The sequence below is a fragment of the Homo sapiens genome, chromosome 4 (assembly GCF_000001405.40).
Source record: "Homo sapiens chromosome 4, GRCh38.p14 Primary Assembly".
Classification (NCBI taxonomy): Eukaryota; Metazoa; Chordata; class Mammalia; order Primates; family Hominidae; genus Homo; species Homo sapiens.
Genome location: NC_000004.12, coordinates 34,144,752 through 34,169,848, shown reverse-complemented (window position 1 = coordinate 34,169,848; position 25,097 = coordinate 34,144,752). Strand labels below are relative to the sequence as shown.

Sequence of the window (25,097 nt, the reverse complement as noted above, 5' to 3'; positions counted from 1 at the left end):
GTGGCTGTACCAAAACAAACCTTCATTTTATATTTTCGTATAGGTGTATTTGGGACCAAGGCATATTTGTTTTAAGATCTGGACTGGCTGGTCTTGGTTCCAGCCTTCAAGTCCAGTTGAAGTCTTTTTCATGTGCCCACTCTGGGGTCCACATATGTCTTTCCAGAGAACACAGGCACACAAAAATAAGTGTGTATGCACACCCACATTGAGTGTCTCCTCTTGCTTCACAAGTTGTTTTTCTTGTTTTTTCCATCAGACTGCATCTGTTGGTCTAATTGCCTGCTATCATCCACACGGGGATTTTTCCTGTTGTCTCTCTCTTTTTTTTCCAATTCTTATGCAAAATTTTATCTCCTCAGATATGTCCCTATCTTCACCCGTTCCAGTTTACTCCTTAGCCTATCTTCTAATTCTATTTTCTTCTTATGACTTATAATTACTTGAAAGTTTTATTTATTTATTTATTGTTTTATTTTAAAGCTAATAATTTATTGAGATGTAATTTACATCCATTAAAATAAAAAAATCCTAAAGACATACATCATTTAATTTTGAAATTGTAAAATTGTAAAAATTGTAAAAACACATGTATCAATTACATGGTTGAAGACAGATAACATTTCTATGATGCCAGAAAGTTACTTGTGCCTCTCTCTAAGCAATGCACACTACAATAGGTCTGTACTCATCTGATTGCTATTACTATAGATAAATTTTGTGTGTTCATTAAATTCATATAATTGAAATCATACAGTGTGTATTATTATTATTATTATTATTATTTTTGAAACGGAGTCTCACTCTGTCTCCCAGGCTGGAGTGCAGTGGTGCAATCTCGGCTCACTGCAACCTCTGCCACCTAGGTTCAAGCAATTCTCCTGCCTCAGCCTCCTGAGTAGCTGGGATTACAAGCACCTGCCACCGCGCTTGGCTAATTTTTGTATTTTTAGTAGAGACAGGGTTTTACCGTCTTGGCCAGGCTGGTCTTCAACTCCTGACCTCATCATCCACCCACCTCAGCCTCCCAAAGTGCTGGGATTATAGGCATGAGCCACCACACCTGGCCCATTGTGTATTATTTTGCATTTCATTTCTCTCACTATCATGCTTTTGAAATTCACAGGTGTTGTTATTTACATCAATTCTTTTTTCCTTGTTAATTCATTGTATAGATATATCATAGTCTGTTCATTTATCTTCTAATAGATAGCTGATTTTTTTTCTTCTAGTTTCTGAATATTATGAATAAAGCTGCTATGGACATACTTACACATATCTTTTGTGTAAACTTAAAGCTTTTTTTTCCTCTCACATAGTAACTAGGAGTGAAACTGCTAGGGTGTAGGGTTGATATCTATGTAACTTTATGAGAAAATACATACATTTCCAAAGTAGTTATGTCATTTTTTTACTCTCACCAGCAATGTATAAAAGTTCTGAATGCTCTATATCTTTGCTAATACTAATTATTGCTGGCCTTTTCAGTTTTTTTTATTCTGGGTTTTAAAATTGTACATTTTGATTTTAATTGACATTGTTAAAAAATATTAATGTTTATCACTGATAGGGTTAGGCTTTGTGTCCCCACCCAAATTTCATCTTGAATTGTAAACCCCATAATCTCCATAATCCTCACTTGTGAAGGGAGAGACCAAGTGGAGGTAATTGAGTCATGGGGGCGTTTCCCCTATGCTGTTCTCATGATAGTGAGTTCTTACGAGATCTGATGAATTTATCAGGGACCCTTCGCCCTCCACTTGGCACGTTTCCTTCCTACTGCCTTGTGAAGCAGGTGCCTTGTTTCGCCTTCACCTTGCACCATGATTGTAAGTTTCCTGAAGCCTCCCCAGTCATGCTGAACTGTAAGTCAATGAAACCCCTTTCCTTTATAAGCTACCCAATCTCGGGCAGTTTCTTATAGCAGTGCGAAAATGAACGAATATAATCACCCTTCCACATGTTTCTTGTGAGTCACTTATGTCTTTTTGGACATACATGTTCTAGTGTTTGACACAAATTTTAGTGGAAATGTTTATCACTTTAGTACTAATGTGGAAGAATTATTTTTATATTCAGGGTATGAGTCCTTTCTTTGGTAGCATAGCTATTAACTCATCATTTTCTTCAGTCTATTTGTGACTTTTCACTGCCTTAATAATGTTTTTGATGATTAAAATATGTTAATTTTGGTAAAATACAAATGATTGCTTTTTCCCTTTTTTGCTAAGTGCCTTTTGAGTTCCATCTAAGAAATATTGACAAACCAATATCATAAAACTTATTACTTTGTATATTCTACCAAAACTGATGTAGCTTTAGTTTTTTTATATGTATATATTTTGATACAGTATCTTGTTCTGTTGCCCAAGCTGTAGGGTAATAATATGATCACAGCTCACTGCAGCCGTGACCTCCTAATCTCAAGTGATCCTCCCACCTCAGCCACCCAAGTAGCTGGCACTACAGGTGCACCAACTTGCCCAGCTAATTTTTGTATTTTTTGTAGAGACAGGATTTCCCCGTGTTGCCCAGGCTGGTCTTGAACTCCTGGGCTTAAGTAATCCACCTGACTCTGCCTCCCAAAGTGCTGGGATTATAGGCCTGAGCCACCACACCTGGGTCTAGATTTAGTTTTCAAAATTTTATCTATCATCCATTTTAAGTTAAAATTTCTGCACGTGGTGACTTGGGGTTGGGAAAAGATTATCGGGTTTTTGAATATATATATTGAGCTTATTAAGCATAATTTTTTGAAAAGATGTACTTTTCCCATAAAATTGCTTTGATTCCTTCATTAAAAATTAATTATCCTTTAGTTTGTGGATCTACTCTTGCCTCTGTTTTTGCTGATCTGTTCACCTATTCTTACATAAGTGTTAAACTCTCTGAATTACTATAGTTTTGTAGTAACCATTGTAGTCAACTCCGTTCTCCTTCATTATTCCCTTGAATATTCTAAATCCTTGGTATTTTTAAAAATATGTTTTATATTCCATTTGTCAATTACTACATATATTTTTTAGCAGAAATACGTTGTCTCTGTAGTTAATTTAGAAAGAAAATTATAAATTGACAATATTGGGTATTCTTAACCATAAAAATTTAGCTAAGTCTTCTTTAGTTTAACTCAGCAATGATGTTTTATTTGTTACATATCTTTTGTTACATTTCTAAAGATTTCATGATTTTTATGCTATAGAACATATTTAAACATTTTTTACCACTGTCTTTAGTACCTAAATATAAAGTTAGTTTTATATATTTACTTTTACTTTCTGCTAAATTTATCTACTATTTCTATAAGTTTTTGCATTTTTAATTTTTTGTTACTGTTTTTACCAATAGTGAATTAGGGCAGTTTAATTTTTTCCATCTTTTATGTCTTATATTTTTTTTATTTTCTTATTGTACTAGCCAAGATGTACAGCACAGGGTTTATATAAATATGGAAAGGAAATATTCTACATTTAGACTTAAAAGTAGGAGTAAAACATTAACTGTTTTATCATGCAATATGATATACTAAAATAAATTATATAGATACTCTATAACAGATTAATATTCTATTTCTAGATTGTTAGTTTTTCTTATAAATGAATATTAATTTTTATCAAATCCTGTTTCTTCATCTATTAAGATGATTATATATTTTGTTTATTTTGCTAACATGCTGCGTTAATCTACTTTTTAATATTACTTCAATCTAACATTACTACTGGGATAAATCTCACTTGGTCATGATGTATAAATCTTTTTATATATTGTTTTATAGTATTTGCTGATATTTTCTTTTTAGAATTTTTCTGTCTATGCTTTGATAAAAGTTGCTCTGAAATTTGCTCTTCATGTAATATTCTTTTTAGATTTTAATATAAGAATATTTTAGTCTTTTAAGACTGCCATAACAAAACACCACATCATGGGTGGCTTAAACTACAGAAACTCATTTCTTACAATTCCGGAGGTAAACATCCAAGATCAAAGTGTTGGCAGAGTTGGTTTTTCCTGAGTACTCTTTGGCTTGCTAATTGTCACCTTTTCACTCTGTCCTCACATGGCTTTTATCTGTGCATGCATGCACCTGGTGTCTCTTCATCTTATAAAGACAACAGTCCAGTTGCATTAGGGCTTCACCTTTATTGATCACATTTAACATTAAGTACCTCTTTAAAGGTTTGCAATATTACCTCATTCTCCTAACAAATTTTACAGCACCTGGAATAATATCTCCTTTTGCATTCCTGAAATTGGTCATTTGTATATCCTGTGTCTCATCTTCTCAGTAAATCATATGAATTTATTAAATTTGGTAACTTTTTCAAATATAGTCTTTTGAATCTATGATTTTTTCGTCTGTTTTTCTGTTCTAATAGTTTATTTATTTATGTTCATATCTTTTTCTTTTTCCTTTTCAGTTTTTATTTGCTTTTCTTTTTTCAGCTTCTCATGCCAAGGTTTGAATGATTGATTTTAAAACTGTTTTCCCCAACATCCAATTAATGAGCTTTGAGGTTTAAAAATTCCTTCTAATCACTACTTTAATTACATACAAACATGTTGTTAGGTTTTGTATTCACTATCATTTAGAAAAAATATTTTCTCATTTTCACTCATTCCTTTTTCACCCATACGTATTTAGAATGGGGTTTTGTATTTCTAACTTTTGATGGATTTCTAATAATTTGAAGTAGTTTTTCAGTTTGTTTTTATTCATTCAGATTATGATATCTATATAACTTTAATTCTTTGGAACTCATTTTATGCTTCATCTTGTAGTGTATTTTGGTGAATATTCCTTGAGTGCTTTAAAATAATGTGTATTATTCCATTGTTGAATGTAATACTCCATATCCGTAAATGTGAATATGGTCACATTAGATAATGTAATCCTTCTACATCTTTAATGATATTTTGTCTACTTGTTCAAGAAATTACTGAGAAATTAAAATTAGTGATATTATTATTATTATTTTAAGAGACATGGTGTCCCTCTCTTGCTCAGGCTAGAGTGCACTGGCACGATCACAGCCTGCTGCAACATGGAAGTCCTGGGCTCAATCCTCCGACATCAGCCTCCTGAGTAGCTGTAATTACAGGCACACACCACCCCACCTGGCTAGTTTTTACATTTTTGTAGAGAGGGGATCTCACTATGTTGCACAGGCTAGTCTAAAACTTCCAGTCTCAAGTGATCCTCCCACCTCTGCCTCCCAAAGCACTTGGATTACAGACATGAGCCACTGCACCTGGCCAAAATCTTAAATTTAGTTATTTTTCTTTTGGAACATTTAATTATTCTCTTATGCATTTTAAACCTATGCTATGGATGCATACATATATAAGACAGTTATGCCTTCCTGATGAATTGACGCTTCTGTCAAAAAATCTCTCTTGCTCTCTCCGGTAATATCTACTTTTTAGATATCTACATAGGGTTCTCTCTATAGCTTTCTAATCATTACTGTTTGCATTACATATTGTTTTTCATCCTTCGATTTCCTGGTATCCTTATAATTAAATTTTGTCTCTTGTAAACACCATATAGTTGGATGTTGTTTTTTCATCCAGTCTGGCAGCCTTTGGCTTTCAAATGTAGTGTTTAGTGCCTTTGAATTTAATGTAGTCAGTGAAATGACTAATATTGTTTATAATTTTGTAATTTATTCTTCTATGTTTCCTCTAGTCTTGTATTTTTCCTGACTTTGCTTGAATTAATCAAGTATTTATTCACTTATTGAATACTCTCATTTTATTTTCAAATTAATTTTTAATTTTTGTGGGTACATATTAGGTGTAGATATCTATAGGGTACTTGAGATATTTTGGTACAGCAAGAAATGCATAATATGCATCATGGAAAATTGGGTATCCATCCCCTCAAGCATTTATTTTTTGTGATACAAACAATCCAATTACATCTCTCGGTTAGTTAAAAATTTACAGTGAAATTATTATTGTCTATTACCCTGAAATGCTGTCTTATTCATTCACTCTGTATATTTTTTGTACATATTAAGCATCCCACCTCTCTCCTGCCCCCTCACAACCATTCTTAGCCTCTGGCAACTAACATTCTATTTTCCATATCCATGGTTTTAATTGTTTTGATGTTCAGATACCACAAATAAGTGAGAATATGCGATGTTTGACTTTTTATACCTGGCTTATTTTACATAGCATAATGACTTGTGGTTCCATCCATGTTGCAAAAGACTGAATCTCATTTTTTTATTGTTGAATAGTACTCCATTGTGTACAAGTACCACATTTTCTTTATCCATTCCTCTGTTAAGTCTTTAATCCATATTAATTTAATTTTTGTATATGGTAAGAGATAGGAATGCAGTTTCATTCTTCTGCATTTGGGTGTACAGTTTTCCTAGAACCATTTATTGAAGACCATCTTTTCCCCCAAAGAATGTTCTTGGCACCTTTATCAAAAATGAGTTTATGTAGAGTTTGGATTTTCCCCTATGTTCTTTATTCTGTTTCATTGGTCTATATGTCTGCTTTTGTGTCAGTACCATAATATTTTAGATACTATATCTCTGTAGAATAATTTGAAGTTGGGTAAATTATTTCCTCCAGTTTTGTTCTTTTTGCTTAAAGTAGCTTTGTCTATTCTTGGTCTTTTGTAGTTCCATATAAATTTTAGAAGTGTTTTGTTTCTATTTCTGTAAAGAATATCATTGGTATTTTGTTAGGTATTGCATTGAATCTATAGATTTATTTAAGTACTATGGATATTTGAATAAAGTTGATTTTTCCAATCCATGAAGACCTTTCCATTTTTTGTCTGTCTTCTTCAATTTCTTTAATCAATGTTTTATAGTTTTCATCATAGAGATCTTCCATTTCTTTGGTTAAGTTAATTGCTAGCTATTTAACTTTATTTGTAGCTATTCTAAATGAGATTCCTTTATTGATTTTTTCTCACATTGTTCATTGTTGGCATATAGAAATTCTATTGGTTTTTGTATGTCGATTTTGTATCCTGCAAGATTACTGAATGTCTTTATTGTTTCTAATAGTTTTTTAGTGGAGTTTTTAGTTTTTTTCAAATATCAAATCATATCATCTGTCCACAAGGATACTTTTTTCTTTCTCCTTTTCAGTTTGGGTGGCTTTTATTTTTTTCTCCTGTCTGTTTGCTCTAACCAGGACTTCCAGTACTACGTTGAATAAAATTGGTGAAATTGGAAAGTCTTGTACTGCTCCAGGTCTAAGAAGAAATGCCTTCAGTTTTTCCCCATTCAGTATGTTACAATTAATAGCTGTAGTTCTGGCCTATATGGCTTTTATTATGTTGAGGTATGTTTCCTCTATATGCATTTTTTGAGAAATTTTATCATGAAGGGATGTAGAGCTGTATCATATGCTTTTTCAGCATCAGTTGAAATTACTATATGGTTTTGTCCTACATTATATTGATATATCACATTGATTCAATTGCATATATTGAACCATCCTTGCATCACAGGGATAAATCCCACTTGGTCTCGATGAATGATCTTTTTAATATATCATTGAATTCAGTTTACTAGTATTTTTTGAGGGATTTTGCATCATTATTCATCAGAGATATTGGGCTTTTCTGACGGTATTCATTTTATTAATTATTGTTCTGTTCTGATTTTGGATTTCTTCATGGTTAAATCTTGATAGGCTGTATGTGTCTAGAAATTTATTCATTTCTTTTAGATTTTCCAACTTATTGGAATGTAATTGCTCATAGTAGCCACTAATGATTCTTTGAATTTCTGTGGTATTATTTGTAATTCCTCCTTCTTCATATCTGACTTTATTTATTTGGGTCTTCTCTTTTTTTTTTTTTAGCTATTCTGGCCAAAAGTTTGAAATTTTTTTCATGGATATTTTATATTGTTTTCTTTGTTTCAAATTTAATTCTGCCCTAATCTTTATTATTTGTTTTCTTCTACTAAATTTAGGTTCAGCTTTCTCTTTCTTTTATAGATCTTTAGGATGCATTATAAGGGTATCTTTTTGAAGTTTTTCTTCTTGTTTGAATTGGCACTTATGGCTATAAATTTCCCTCTTAACACTGCTTTTGCTGTATCCTACAGGTTTTGTTATGTTGTGTTTCCATTGTCATTTGTTTTAAGACATTTTTCAATTTCCTTCTTAATTTCTTCATTGACTCAATGGTCATTCAGGAGAATATTGCTTAATTCACATGTTTTTCATATAGTTTTCAAAATTTTTCTTGTAATTGATTTCTAGTTCTATTCCATTGTGGTGAGAGAGGATGCTTGGTATTGTTTAAAATTTTTGAAATGTATTAAGACTTGTTTTGTGACCTAACATATGATCTATCCAAAAGAATGATCCATGTGCTAAGAAAAAAAAATGTGTATTCTTCAGTCATTGGATGCAATCATCTATAAATATCAATTATGTCCATTTGTTCTACAGTGACGATTAAGTCCAATTTTTCTTTATTGATTTTCCATCTGGAATATCTGTCCAATGCTGTAGGTGGGGGTGTAGTAGTCTCCAGCTATTATTGTGTTGAGGTCTATCTTTCTCTCTTTAGCTCTAATAATATTTGCTTTCTGTATTGGGGTGCTCCAATGTTGAGTGCATATTTATTTGCAATTGTATTATATTCTCTTGCTGAATTGAGTTCTTTATTATTACATGATAATCTTGTCTTTTTATACAGTTTTTGTTAGGAATTTTTTTTTCTGACATAAGTATAGCTGCTCTTTCTCTTTTTTATTTCCATTGGCATGAAATAACTTTTTCCATTCCTTTATTTTCACTCTTTGTGTGTCTTTATAAGAGAAGTATGTTTCTTGAGGCAAAATATCGTTGAACCTTGTTTTTTCATCTTTTCAGCCACTGTATGTCTTTTAATTGGAGAGTTTCTTCCATTTACATTCAACGTTTTTATTGATAAGTAGGGAGTTTCTGTTGCCATTTTATTATTTGTTTTCTGGTTGTCTTGCAGACTTCTCCTCCTTCTTTCTTTTCTTCCTGTCTTCCTTTCAGTGAAGGTAATTTTCTTTGGTAGTATGCTTTAATTTTGCTTTTTATTTTTTGTGTATTTGTTATGTCTTTTTTTATTTGAAGTTACCAGGAGGCTTGCAAATACTGTTTAATAACCCATTATTCTAAACTGATAACACTGATTCCATAAACAAACAGAAAAGAGAAAACAAATAAAAATTCTACACTGTAAATTTATGCCCCCACTTTTTAACTTTTTGTTGTTCCTTTTTATGTCTTATTGTGCTGTCTATGAATTTAAAAGTTATTATTTTTGATTGGTTCATTGTTTAGTCTTTGTACTTAAGTCAGGAGTATTTTGCATATCATAATGACAGTGCTATAGTACTCTGTTTTTCTTTGTGGTTACTACTCTCAGTGAGTTTCGTACCGTCAGGTGATTTTTTTATTGCTCATTAACATATTTTTCTTTCAGACTGAAGAATTTTGTTTACCATTTCTTGTTGAACAGGTCTGGTATTGATAAACTCCCTCAGCTTTTGTTGGACTGGGAAGGTCTTTATTTCTCTTTCATGCTTAAAAAATATTTCTACCAGATAAACTATTCTAAGGTAAAAGTTTTTAATTCTTCAGCACTTCAAATATATGTCATGTCATCCTCTCCTGGCCTGCAAACCTTTCCACTGGAAAGTCTGCTGCCACACATATTAGAGCTACATTGTATGCTATTTATTTCTTTGCTCTTATTGCTTTTAAGATCCTTTCTTTATCCTTGACCTTTGGAAGTTCAAGTATTAAATGTCTTGAGGTTGTCTTCTTTGGGTTAAATCTGCTTTGTGTTCTGTAACCTCCTTGTACTTGAATGTTGATATCTTTCTCTAGGTTTGGGAAGTTCTTTGATATTATCCCTTTGAACAAACTTTCTCCCCCTATCTCTTTCTCTACCTCGGATTTTAGGCCAATAACTCCTGGATTTGTCCCTTTGAAATTATTTTCTATACCTTGTAGACATGCTTCATTCTTTTGTATTCTTTTTTCTTTTGTCTCCTCTGACTGTGTATTTTCAAATAGCTGTCTTCAAGCTCACTAATTCTTTCTTCTGCTTGATCGTTTTTGCTATTGGGAGATTTTGATGAATTCTCCATATGTCAATTGCATTTTTCTCCTCTAAAATTTCTTTTTGATCCTTTTTGTTTTAATCTTTTTGTTAAATTTATCTGAATACCTTCAATGTGTTATCTTGAATTTTGTTGAGTTTCCTCAACACAGCTCTTTTTAATTACTTGTCTGAAAGACGATATAACTCTTTTTCTCCAGTATTAGTCCCTGGTGACTTATCTTGTTCATTTTGTGGGCTCGTGTTTTCCTGGATGGTGTTGATATTTGTAGGTGTCTGGCCATTGAAGAGTTAGGTATTTATTTGTTATGGTCTTCAGAGTTGAGGTTTTTTGTAACTCTCCTTCTTTGGAAGGCTTTTCAGGTATGCAAAGAGATTTGGGCCGCAAACCCTATAACACTGTGTTTTTTGCAGACTTGTAGAGGTACTGCCTCAGTGGTCTTGGATAAAATTTGCAAGAATTCTTTGGATTATTAGGGAAAGACTCTTGTTATTTCCCCTTATTTTCTGCCAAACAAATAAAGTCCCTCTGTCTCTGCTGAACCTGGAACTGGGGGTGTGGTAATTCAAGCACCCTGTGGTCATCAACACTGAGACTGTGCTAGCTCAGACCTGATGCCAGCAGAGCACTGGGCCTTGCCCAAGGCCATTTTCTTCAGTGTGGTGAGATCCCCCAGTTTCCAGGCATGTTCAGAGACATTTTCTGGGAGTGAGTAATTAGAGGCAAAACCTTAGCAATTTACTTGAAGTTATATACTACTGCAGCTAAGCTGTCACTCAAACCACAATATGAAGTCATTCTTGCTCTTCCCTCCCATCACTTTTCCGCAGGCAAAGGAACCTCTCCCTGTGGCCACCACCACCACCAGTTCATGGGTGGTTCTGCCAGGCCACCAGTGATGTTCACTTAAAGATCAAGGGCACTTCTGTTAGCTTGTGGTGAATGCTGTCATACCTGGGACTCACCTTTCAGGTCAGTGGGCTCTCTGGCCAAGGGCAGGTCCAGAAACGCAGTCAGAATACAGGCCCAAACTGAGGGACCTTAACAGACTTCTTCTTGCTCTATGCCACTATGGCAAAACTAGGTATCTGGTACACCAAAACACTTCAGCCCACAGTGGTGAAGCTTGCTAAGACTCTCAAATTCTGATGGCTAGGATGGATGATTCCCCTCTGGCTAGGGCTGGTCTAAATGGCCCTCCATTCACAGGTGCTGGCTGAGCCCAACATAGCTTTCTTCTCTTCTGCAACAGTGCAGCACTGGGTTCAATGTAAAGTCTTCCAGTCATTGTGCTCATCCTCTTCAAAGTCCACAAATTCTGTCTTCATGTAGCATGGCCACTGCTGGGATGGAGTAGGGGTGGTGTCAGTGATTCAACACTATCTCTCCTGCTCTCCTCAATGCCTGTTTCAGTGATGTAAAATCAAAACCAGGCACTTTAATTGTTCACCTGCCTGACTTTTGGTTCTTGTGATGGTGTTTTCTTGTGTGCAGATAGTTGTTAAAATTTGGGTTCCAGGAAAGCGGGGAAGGGCAGGTGGACTAACAGTGTAGGCTTCTATTCCATTATCTCACCCTACCTTCCTCTATTTTAACTCTTATTTGATGTTTTTAGCTGTCACTCTTTTTATTACATGTTTAGTGGTAGATCAAAGGATTATAATACACATTCTTAACTTATCTGAGTCCATCTTGCTTTAATATTCTATCACTTCCTGTATAAAATAAGATTTTCTAAGGTACATAACAACACAATAAATAAGAGCATACAGACAGTTCTTGTTTTGCATAGTTCTGGTATGTAAGAATTTGTTAACACAATTTAATTGACATCAAGTGACATTAACTACACATTTAATATTTTAGATATTATAGTATATTGACTATGAGTAAGCTACACATTTAGCTAACTCTTTGTTTCACAAACCACTATGTAAATAGCATATGTGGTTCATGCACATATGATGTGCACTGGTTATAATAAATTATAACCAGTCTTTTCACTTTTTTCAAATTCTTTTTGTGTTTGGTCACCATGCATCTGTTATTCACAGGCAGCAAATCTTATAGTTGGATTGTCTACTCATATTCTTGCAATAAGCCCACATGTCATTTTTGAAAAATAAATAATCCAAAGAGTCATTTGACTAAGAAGTTGAAAAGGCAGCAAAAAAATGTTATAATGTGGCAAATACAGTTTGAATAAAACAAAAATAAAATTATAGAAGAAATAGCCAGCTATGGGGATGTTGACATTGCTACTGTTTAAGAGTCTCAATCTACAATCAGAGAAACTTGAAAGTGAATTTATTAATAAAAACGAAGAAAAGTGTTTGAAACAAAAAGGATAAAGGTATCTCAGAAGAAAGGACACTTGCAGAAATATATTTTTTAAAATTCTTACATTAAAGAAACTCTTGGAGATATCTTAACGATATTGAACGTGCAAAGATTAAAATGTTCAAGGCTGATCCACACTTAGAAAAAGAGTATGACAATTTGCCAAGACATAGGAAAGATTTTCATGGCATATAAAAATAAGATATATGACCAGAAGGCAAGCAATATTGATAGTCTTCTTAATACCTTTGTTTCTTACAAAGAAATAAAACACTTTAGTGTTTCAAATCACAGTGTAACAAATAAATATTATTTAAAATTTTTAATTTCCATATGCATATCTGGTTCTAAGCAAGTTTTTAATATTTTGACACAATTTTTACAGGTCAGAGAATAGTTATTTTTTCTCATTGATTTTTAAGGTCATGTTGCACAGTTTCAGATTGCAAAATTAGTACTGCATTTAATTCATTTTATTCCCACTTCTAGACACATTCTGTGTGATTGTTGTTTTATTTCTACATAGGACTTCATTTAATTTATTTTAATCGCTTCCCCACATATATTTTGTGCTGCTGTTGTTTTATTTCTATGTACGTCATATTTAGTGCATTATTACTTTTGCATTAGTGACATTACATTTATTATCTTTTAAACATTTAACATTTTTTTTAAAAATTGTAATGAAACTGTATGTTTACCAACATAACTGCTATTTGGGTTTTTCTTCATTTTTTAATGAGATCCAAACTTTCATCTGTGAACATTTCTATTTAACCTAAATTTTCTTTTTACACATTAACAATTTCTAATTAAATTTTGGAGAAAATTTTTACTAAATCTGGATATCTAAATTGACTTTTCTCTTTTGGCATTTTAAAGATGCTGTTTATTTTTTTTTTGTGACCTTTACTGTTTTTGATGTGAGTCATTGTTCATAACATTTTATTCCTGAGTATAATCCTGTTTTTTTTATTGGGAAGGGGTTTCTGATATGGTTTGGCCCTATGTCCCCATGCAAGTCTCACCTTGAATTGTAATAATCCCCATATTTCATGGGTGGGACCAGGTGGAGATAATTGAATCATGGAGGTGGTTTCCCCTATTGCTGATTGCATGATAGTGAGTGAGTTCTCACAAGATCTGATGGTTTTATAAAGGGCGTCCCCCTTCACTCGACACTCATTTTCTCTCCTGCCGCCCTGTGAAGGGATGCCCTTTGCCATGATTGTTAGTTTCCGGAGGCCTCCCCAGTCATGAAGAACTGTGAATCAATTAAACTTCTTTTCTTTATAAATTACCCAGTCTCCAGTATTTCTTCATAGCAGCATGAGAACAGAGTAACAGAGTTACTTAGCAGTTTTCTTTTTATTGTTATATTAAGCAACTTAACTGTTTGCCCAAATATGTCCTCTATATTTACCCTTCTTGAACTGCACTGAGTTTCTTAGACTTGTGGGTTTTTATTTTTCACTAATTTTGGAAAAAATGGGAATTATTTCTTTAAATATATATTCTTTTCTATTTAAATATTTTTTCTTCTCATTCTTCACTGTCCATTGCTCAATGCATGAAATTATTCTATGTATTTTTCCCATTGTCACAGGTATTTATCTAGGGAAGTACTATTGTCTAAGTATTTAACAAAATTTATATGTTGAAACCTAATCATCAATGTAATTAGGAGGTAGAAATTTGGAGGTAGGGCATTTGGGAGGTGATTAGATAGTGAGGGCAGAACTTGCATGAATGCGATCAGTGTCTTATAAAAGAGACCTTAGAGAGTTCCTTTTCCCTTCTATTATGCCAAGTTATAGTGAGAAGATGGCTATGAGGAAGTGGGTCATCATCAGACCCAAAATCTATCAGCCTTTTCATCTTGTACTTTCCCTCATCCCAAATTGTGAGAAATAAATTTTCATTGTTTATAAACCATCCAGTTTATGGTATTTTGTTATAGCAGCCAAAATGGACTAAGATAGGGAGTTATGTCTGATAGTAGCTGCTCCATCATGGTGAAAAATAATGTTTATTTCATTTTAAATGGGCTTATTTTCTTCTTCTCCCCTTTAGAATGTATGACATACTAAAGAGAGGAAAATCATCTATCTTATTTTAAACTATTTTCTTGTCATCAATATCAATGAACAATACATCTTAATTAATTAAAAGGATTTTAAGCCATTATTTGAGGACATTGTTTTATGAGTCCATTATCAGTTGATCCAAAGTATGAGTAGAGTTATTAAAAATATTTCAAAATTCTCTAAGTATCTGTGCTGAAATTCATTTAGTATAGTGTTGAAGCTGTTCCCATTGTTCAGAACTGAAATCGATTTATATTTATGATGTACATTGCATTCCAGTGATTATTCAATATTTAAAATATCAACTTTGGCTGTAACTACACCTAAAATATTGTGCTGAAGTTAAAAAAAAAGTCAAGAAAAACTTAATAGAACTGGAAAAAGTATTACAAAGAAATTTCAATTATAAAACGTTGGAAGATCTTTATATCCGTATAAACTAAGTTATGTTTATCCTGTAAAGATGACTTTGAAGGAAGATGATTTGAAGGGAAAAGCACACTTGCAAAATTCATGACTTATGATCTATGATATAAATCTTCATTTATTAAATCTAATAATAGATTTATTAAACTTAAATTATTCCATGAAACCTCAAAAAAGGGGTTCTGAGAAACTTAAGGAAATCCAGTGCAGAAACAGTCCAGTAAAATAGCATGAGTTCACTCTAATTTTTGATAAAATGTAATGTATATGTAGTTATATTTCATGAGAAGAGAGTAGTCAGATCCAAAAATCCAAAAATATAATGTAATTATACTTTTTACTTCTGTAAAAAGATCCAAAAATATAATGTAATTTTGAATATTTAACTATTCATGATAGGAGATAACTGAATAGTTAAAAAAATAAAATGGGACTATCAGTCCACATATTTCATTAATAATTGCAAATAAAATATTTGAATTTTTTGTTATAAAATATTTTGATTGAATACTATAGTTCAGTATCATATTTTCATATTCACCAATTATAGAAAATATATAAGAAATTTTATTTTGTTTTTATATTCAATTTATTCAGAAACTATATGTGATTCAGAAAAAATATATTTATATATTATGTGAAAGATTTTTTTATATATATAGATGTATATAATCTTTTAAATTTTATTCTCCTTTAAAACTCTTTCTCTTTCATGCTATGTAGATAAGATCAATGAATTCCGGGCACATTTATAAATTTGTATAAATTATGTATTAATTTATATTTTAGCCCACAAAAAAAAAACCATGTAAATGTATTTGTTTATTCTAAGACATTTTTATTACATTCATTTATTAGGCAATTACAGTAAAATAAATTTTAAATAATTCTATTTTCTTATTGTGTACCGATTTTTTCCAGCCCTACATACTTTTTGATATTTAGCACTTATGATTTTAAATCAAGGGCCTTTTCACATGAAGTTAGGTTACTTTAAAAAATTTATTTTTTATTTATAGGAAAAGCAACTTTTTAATTTAATGCAAATTAAATTAAGAAATTTTGTAATTTCAGTATATGTGTCCCTTTAAAATTCATATGTTGAAATATAATAATAAATTTATATTATTAAAAGGTGGGGCCTTTTGAGAGGTAATTAAATCAGGAGAGCTCCACCAAATCAGGAGAGCTCCACCATCATGAATGGACTAGTGTTCTTATAAAAAGGGTTGAAGGAATCACTCTAGTGCCATTTTTGCTGTTTTGTCTTCTACCATGGGAGGACACAGCAACCAGGCTTCAACTTTGAAGCAGAGGGCAGCCCTCTCCAGACATTGAATCTGCTGGTGCCTTGAGCTTGGACATTTCAGCCTCCAAAACTGTGATAATATAAATTTCTGTTTATATTATATTATAAATAGCCTAGTCCCATGTATTATTGTAGCAGCCTGAAGGGACCAAGATGCTATTATCTACATTCTATTATTTTTTCAAATTGTGAAATTGAGAAGATTTAAAATTTAGGATATGTAATTACTACTGTTCATTGTTGAGAATAAGATAAAATATTATAGATAGGTATAAATATACAAATAACAAATTTTTAAATATCTCTATACTACCATACATTGAAAGAATATGAATTGTGTTAGTAGTCAATAATTTATTATTAGAATTTTGAAGCACTTTGAATTTTCTCATGCTAGTACTGATATATCTGTTCATTCTCAAGTTGCCAGTAACTTTACATTTGTTTTTCTGTTTATAAAACTTGTATGTAGCTGAGTGCAATTGTGCACCCTTGTCATCCCAGCTACTCGGTATGCTAAGGAAGGAGAATGATTTGAGCCCAGGAGTTCATGACCAGCCTGAGCAACATAATGAGACACTCTCTGAAAACAAATAAAAAATAAAAAAACTCTAGAAACAAAAAAGTGTATGCATTATTGTATATAAAAATTGAAACAAAAAAAACTAAAATGTTCCAAAGAAGGTGAGACTATAAAGAGAAAAACATCATTTATCTCAAAACTTAAAGATGCATTTTGCTGGTATGCATACCTTTTTATATGCACACACGTGAACAACTATTGGTTTATTCTGTTTTTCTTACATACAATAGTTATTTTTTGAGTACCACTGTATAATAGGTATTGTTCTCAGTTATGGAGGTATAACACAAGTTAATCCTCCTTAAGCTTACATTTTAGTGAGAAGAGACAAATTAAAAACTAAGAAGTTCATAATAATAAAGAACGATTGTAATACATGCCAAAAAGTTAGGGAGGGGATGGATATGAATTATAATGAGGTAGGAAGGGCTAACATAAGTTGAGAATTTGGAAGGCTTCTGGGACCTAGGTGAGTAGAGTAGAACCTGAAAGATGAGAGGGAGCAAGACGTGTGAAAAACAAAAGACAGGGAGTTTGAGGCAGTGTAATTGCCCATCATCTCATTGTACCGTAATTTATTACACTATCCCCTATTAATACCCACATACCTCACACTCATCTCAGAGATATCTGTAATTACTTTTGTAGAATCAATTATTAGAAGCGGCCTTTCTTGCCCCAATGGGATTTAAATTTAGAATTCTAAACACATTTCACTTCAAACAGTACATTCATTTTTATTCTACCAATTTCAGATATTTTGAGATCAGTTTTAGCATATGGTTATAAACATTATATGTTATGAGCCTTTTCTTTGTAGTTTAATCTGAAAGATCAAAACTGATTTCTCATTGGTTTAGATTTCATTTATTTGTTTATGAGTGAGATGGCAATCCTTTATAGACACATGGATTACAAACACCTCTGGAGCCAGCCCTTCTTGGTTTAAATTCTAGTCCCTCTAATTACAGGATGAACAACTTGGATAATCTATTTAAACCCCATGCATGCCTTATATTTTTTCAGTAACTGAAAATTAGAAATAAGGGTAATAATAGTGCTACATCACAGGATTATTAGTGAGTAAAAATAAAACAATAACTTTAAAATATTAAAATATTAGAAGTACACTTGGCTGATAGTAAGCATTAACTTGTGTTAAAAATGCCTTAGTAGTAATAATAATAATAATATTAATTGAAAATCTGTGTTTATTCTTTTGTACATTTTACTTCACATTGACTGTTTCAGTTCTGTAGTTTGTTGGCTTTTTTTTGAAACATAGGTCTTTAAAACTATTTTAAATATTAATGTATTTGTTTAAAATTTTCTCTAAGCTACAGCAGTTTTCCAAGTTGGTTGTTCATTTAAAACATTAATTATGGAGTATTTTTTCTATAAAATAAGTTTACAGTTTCTAAGTAACAATATTTTCACTTGTAGTTGCTGGCTTTAACATTTTAATAAGTAAGTACTATGATACAATTTTATTTCTAAACTTCTTCACTTGACTTTCTACTTAATGTTTTTATAAATTAAAACATAAGATCCTCGGAAACCCATATGGATCATATTTTTCTACATGATCTGCTTCAATATATATGACAATCATTTCAAACTTCTTTCATATATTGATATGATGAATTAATGGATATTTTAATAATGAATTATTCTTGGATTTTTTAAATGATACCATTTGTTAAGGCAGAAAATTATTTTGTTACATAAGTAGATTCCATATTCAAATATTTTATTTATGAATGGAATACACACATGTATAAAGGTGTATGTGTGTATTTATATATATATGTAGTCATACATTTTAATGGTCCATAGTATTCTTTTTTCCTTTGTTTTTTAGCAAGTTTTAATTTTATACTTATACTAACCTGATAAGTAAAAAAGCTGTCTTTTTTTCTATTCTAAGGTAAGTTTTAAAAGCCTAGAAATCTGTGCTCTTATAGAAGATTTGAAAATACTCTTCAGACTCTAAATAGTCTCTTTTATAATCTTTTAAAGTATATTGGTAGTTGACTAGCCTAAAATATCTTCTGAATTTTATTCATAGAAGTCAACTTAACTATGACTTATTTACACATAATAGGTGCCCAGTGATAAATTAATGTAATAAATTAGTGGTCTAAAGAATTATTATTTCAGCAAAATACACACTCATTGCTCTCATATTTAACTTAATTCAGAGCTAGTAATACATTGCTAACATTTTTACTAATTAATACACACGTCAATCATTTTGTAATAGAGACTTTTCATCATCTTAACACTAGTTCCCTTTTCTACTTAGAGCTTTCTTGGAAGCATCAGTGAGTCTTTACAGTCAGTAAATAAATGTGGTAATATCTATTTTGGACTTTTTGAATGTAGTCACCACAGCTGTGTTTTATTTTTGGGAGGGTTTCATTTTTCAGCTTATAAAATTGTAGGGAAGATGATGAGATAAGTAGAAAGTAAGTAAAAGCTCCAGCTCAAGGATGGGAAACATTTGATCCTGCTCCCAAACGATAATGATAAAGAAAATTTGTTTTACCCCTGATGGAATGGAATTTTCAGATAAAAGAAATAACAAAGGTTTTCAATCATTACGTTCCTCATGCATATTACTGATTTTTATTTATTTAATTTATTTATTTATTTATTTATTTTTGAGAAGGAGTGTCGCTGTGTCGCCAGGCTAGAGTGCTGTGGCGCCATCTCGGCTCACTGCAACCTCCAACTCCCTGGTTCAGGGGATTCTTCTGCCTCTGCCTCCCGAGTAGCTGGGATTACAGGGATGCGCCACCAGGCCCGGCTAATTTTTTGTATTTTTAGTAGAGATGGGGTTTCACTATGTTGGCCAGGATGGTCTCCATCTCCTGACCTCATGATCCGCCCGCCTTGGCCTCCTGAAGTGCTGGGATTATAGGCATGAGCCACCACACCCGGCCTCATTACTGATTTGAAATTATTTCAGTAATAATCACATGATATTCAGGGATATGTGGATCTCTGTAACTGTACATAACTTTTTGACAACTTAGCATATTTGTGGAAAACAAACTACGACTGGTGTGTTATCCTAAATTAACAAGTGACATGATATATATTAGTTGAATGATTAAACAGAGAAGTATTGCCTATTATACTCCAGAAAAAAAATAAAATGCATGCCAGAAAATTTATTTTTGCAAGGATGTTCCCACATCTACTTTGTGCCCTTCACATCTAAGTTCGTTTTTATTACAGAATCTCTAGTGCCGTAATCATATCTTTCTATCAAAAAATTTGGGACATAATTATTTATGTTAATTTATGATGTCTTAAAATAGTCCTTAAACTATTTCTGGTTTTAAATGATCTTTTGAAATCTTACCATTGCATGAATAAGACTTGAAGCTTATGTTCCTTCCCAATGAACCTGGGCCAAGTTTTGTGATACACCATAAGAGTCTGGCAAAAGTTGGTTATATAACTTCCAAGGCTCGGTTCTTAAAATCAGTATAGTTCCCACCTCACCTTCTCTCTGTCTTGGAATAATTGCCCTGGGAATACAGCCACTATACTCTAAGCTTACTTGGATGGGTAGTCCAAGCAACATGAAATGGAACCAAAACTCCAGGACCTTAGCCCCAGGTGAGATCTTAGCTAACAGCCAACACCAACCTGCCACCCCTGTAAGCAAACTGTCTTGGAATTAGATCTACAGTGTTCAATCGAGTTGCTTCAGGTGATGCTATGTGGAATACACAGGTCTTTGACCTATGCTGTCTCCAAATTATGCATTTGTGGGCACAATAATTAATTGTTATTTTAAGCTGCTAAATATTGAGGTAGTTTATTTCTCAGCAACAGATACCCAGAATAGTTGAAGTGAGAAACATATTTTTCAAATTTTCACCAAGATAAGTAAATAGCCATAGAAATAAATTCAGATGTTTACAATCCCACGATCAATGCATTAAGTTTCAGCCTCCTGTTACGGAATCTCCACATCTGCTATCATTTTCATGAACAGTCCATCTCCTACCCAGTTGATACACAGAAATGTGAGATATATGAGGCGCTTTATATCATGTGAAGAATCAAAATCTTAAGGCAGAAACAAAAATTTTGGCTTGACATAAAATTTGCAAAAATGTAACCAACTATAGTGAACTTTACCTGAGTTCCATGCTCTTGGAAAAAAGCTATGGTGACAAAAGCCACACTTCTTACCCCAACCTCTTTTTTTCTACTGTACAAAATTTTTATTGCAAAGAATCTCTCTCCCTAGATGACTCAGAGAAGACAATCATAAATACCCCTTTGTTTACCTATGACAAGGTCAGACACAGACTTTCAAATACTCATTCTGTGTCTCATAAATGTTTAGTTGAATTATTAATATTTGTCTCCAGCAACGAATCTGGACAAAATTCTTGCAGTGGAACTTAAATGACCCTTCCTCAAAGGTCCCTCCTGAGAATCTGCTAATACCAGGGGAAAATATACTCAGGTCAGCTATCCAGTCTCTCCACTTCATCATTCCATTTCCCCACACCCAGTTCTTTCTAGCCTTGTTTACTTCTCATAAAAAAAAAAGTTGTTTTTTGCCTCACTTTAATACTACTCCAGATCTCAGGTTAAGCTGGAGCTTTCTTTCTATGGCAATAGTACTTATCCGCTATCACAACATTACTTTCCTCTATTGCAATAGTCTTTTCTAAAAAAGCCTCTCCTTTACTTAAGTCTGGACTTGCTTTCATGTGATAGAACTAATAGTAATAATTTGAGAGCTCCCTTTTCGTAGGTCAGGAACATCAAATAAATGATCCATTCTCTCTGATACCACATCCTGTCTGATTCAATATGATCGCTACATCCACAATAGATTGTGTGCTTCTTAAAGGCAGAAAGGTTAATGTTTTCTTTGTTAGAGCTTTGTATGATCAATCATTTGAAATCCAACCATGCTTATAGTTATGGGAAAAGAAAAATAGGTAGGAAAGATAAATATGGCAGTTTGATAGGCATTTCTCTGAAACATTGATCTGCAAAGATTCTGCCCATGGTTAAAACTGCCTTGTGCATTCAGTAATTTGTCCAGGAAAAAAAAATAAAACATGCAAACAAGGTAACATTGTGTACCAGGAATAATGAATGAGCAGCCAAATATACTAATCAGAAAATGAGACTTAATGACTTGAATAATTTTTGTGGTGTTTGAAATATGCCAAAACATAATGAATTCATCTGAAAGAATGCCTAATAAAAGACCAATATCCCTTGACAAGGGGGTTGGAGAACACTAATGTAGTGACATTAGTTACTACAACAACAGGAGGTGCAACAGGAGGTGGTTCTGCATAGGAAAAGTACTATCCACTACCCATTATGCACAAAATTTCAGGACAGATTCTAGAGTCACTACTTACAAAATGTTTGAAAGCAGAAAAGCAGTGAATTCCCTAGCCATTTCATGAAACCGTTAATTTGCATGACCAGAAATACACACAGACATATTCAATTTATATCAATCTAACACACACAATTTAATATGTACAGCGACATGCTGGTAATGTTTAACTGCTAGCTTTCTGAGAGGACAAGAACAAATTAGAAATCCCATAAACCCATGAATTTCAAAGTTTCTTCCATTTTCTCTCTTTTGTCTTTATAAAATAAATTATTTTGTTTCTGTGATATAAATATGGTTACTATTGTCAATTTCAAACTACCAACTGGAGGTCAATTGTTCCCAGACAACACTCAATATATAAGTGCATTTATTTGTGTGCCTTTGTGCATTTGTGTGTATGTGTGCATATAAACATACTAAGTATATAAGTGTCTATATACTCAACTATATATTCCGTGTATATTTGATATATTCTTTATATATATTCTATGTGTGTGTGTGTTTCATATAAATATATCGATAAAAGAAGAATGTCCATCTAAAACAGTAAATACAGTGAAACATTTTGGTTTTGTCTTTAGCTTTATTGAGATATAATTGATGAATATAATGTGTATATACTTTTAAGATGTATAACATGGTGCTTTGATATACATTCTGAAATTATTGCCACAAGGAAGCTAATTAACATAATAACCACCTCACATAGTTATTTTTGTTTTGTGATGAGAAAATTTAAGATCTACTCTGAGCTAATTTCAAATATACAATACAATATTATTAACTATAGTCACTTTGCTATACACTAGATCTTTTACTATTTATTTTGGTAATTATTCACAGAACTTATTCATCCTGTATAACTGGAGCTTTGTTCTCTTTGATCAACATCTCCTCATTTTGCCCACTTCTTAGCTCCTGGAAACACCATTCTATCCTCTGCTTTTATGAATTCAACATGTTTAGATTCCACATATAAGTGAAATCACTTAGTATTTGCCTTTCTGTACCTGGTTTATTTCATTTAGCATAACATCCTACAGTTTCATCCATGTTGATGAAAATTACAGGATTTCTTTCCTTTTTAAGGCTAAATAATATTCTGTTTTATATTTTATAATTTTAAAATAAAAGATAATTCTAAGAGTCCTACCTGAAAACTATGCTGAGAACACTGTTATTTAAGTTGAATTGAATGTGATCACACTGTAATTAACGCATGTTGTGAAATGTTTTTTGTTTTGTTTTTATAATTTTATATTATGGGAGTTTTGCATTTTTGTATCTATTTTAGGTGCGCAACATGATGTTTTTATATACACATATATAGTTTAGTTATTACTACAATGAAGTCAGTTAACATAGCCCTCAATTTACATAATTCATGTGTGTGTGTGTATGTATTTTTGTGTGGTAAGAACATATAAAATCTCTCAGAAAATTTCTAGTATACAACACAGTATTATTAATTATTATCCTCACACCTTGTATTAGATTTCCATATTTATTTATCCTAAATAACTGCAACTTTGTATTTTTGACCCAAACATTACATTTTCTTTATTCATTCATCTGTGAATGGACACAGGTTTATTCCAGATGCTGGCTGCTGTGAATAATGCTGTAATGAATGTGGGAGTGCGGATATCTCTTCAACTTACTGATTTCATTTATTTTGGATGTATACCCAAAATGGGATTGCAGGATCATATGGTAGCTCTGTTTTTAAATTTTTTAGAAACATCCATGGTGTTTTCCATAATTGTTGTCCAAATTTACATTCCCACCAATGATGTATAAGGGTTTCCTTTTCTCCATATCCTTGCTTAAACTTTCATATTTTGACGTCTTAATAATAGTCATACCAACAGGTATGCGATGATATCTCATGGTAGTTTTGATTCACATTTCCCTGATGATTAGTAATGTGAAACACATTTTTATATACCTCTTGGACATTTGTATGTCTTTTTTGAACAATTTCTATTCAGGTGTTTTACATAATTTTGAAATTGCCCTGTCTATGACATTTTGAATAAAAGATTAGGCATGATTTTGAGATATAGGATCAAAAGGAACTAATTGCCTTTAAGTAAACTTATCAGAAAACAACAAATAACAAAGTTTTGTAAGTGCTATACTTTGGTAATACTTTTATACATATATAAATTAATGCAGTAAATATATTTTACTATATGTTTTAGTAATTATATTTCTAAATATACAGATGCAGTCATTTTATTTCTTGCTCAAGTGCCCCACAGATTTTTTTGCTGTATATAAATCTATTGTGAATTTTTCTTTTATTTTGGTCTGAATTACTGTAGTAAATTTAACCACATATAATGGCAACATGATCAGACACTGATAAAAATGACTCTTGGATTTGCCTTCCAGACAAATACATGCAGAGCTTAGAAAAGCCAGCAACAAGCTGTAGCCAATAGAGCTTTACTGCACGTAATTAAGTCAGCATTGGCATTACTATAGTCAAGTGCTTTGGGAATTGAGTTGATTTTTTTTAAAGACAGGGAAATAGAAAAGTCTTTGGGAGGTATATGGTAATCTGTGCTGTAATAAAAAAACATATTCATCCAGATGAATGATTTTAAATGGATTTACCAAAAAATGGCTATAATTCTGTTGCACAAAACCTGAGCAAGAAATGCATATAAAATTAAGATGACTCATGAAAAAGTTGCACTTACCATGTAAAAATCAAGAGAGCACTTTTTTTCTATTTTTACCTGTCAAATAAGAAAAATCTAATGATATCTTTTTGTCTCTAAGTGTACTTTCATAGAAGTAAGAGTTAAATTCAATCTCTACTCTAAAAGGAATAAATAAGTGATCTGAAACAAAATAA

The 25,097-nt window shown here is 32.2% G+C and overlaps 1 long non-coding RNA gene across 2 annotated transcripts in view, besides 1 other annotated feature; it reads left to right on the top strand.

Moving 5' to 3' along the window:
* Positions 1-25,097, top strand: part of LINC02484 (long intergenic non-protein coding RNA 2484) — a 148,337-nt gene that overhangs the window by 99,899 nt on the left and 23,341 nt on the right. The window lies entirely within an intron of this gene.
* Positions 3,765-4,281: an enhancer, noted in NCBI's record as "NANOG hESC enhancer chr4:34167190-34167706 (GRCh37/hg19 assembly coordinates)". NCBI's record gives its function as "activates a minimal SCP1, AML or CMV promoter by ChIP-STARR-seq in naive and primed H9 embryonic stem cells {active_cell/tissue: H9 hESC(naive and primed)}" and the evidence as "EXISTENCE:reporter gene assay evidence [ECO:0000049][PMID:30033119]".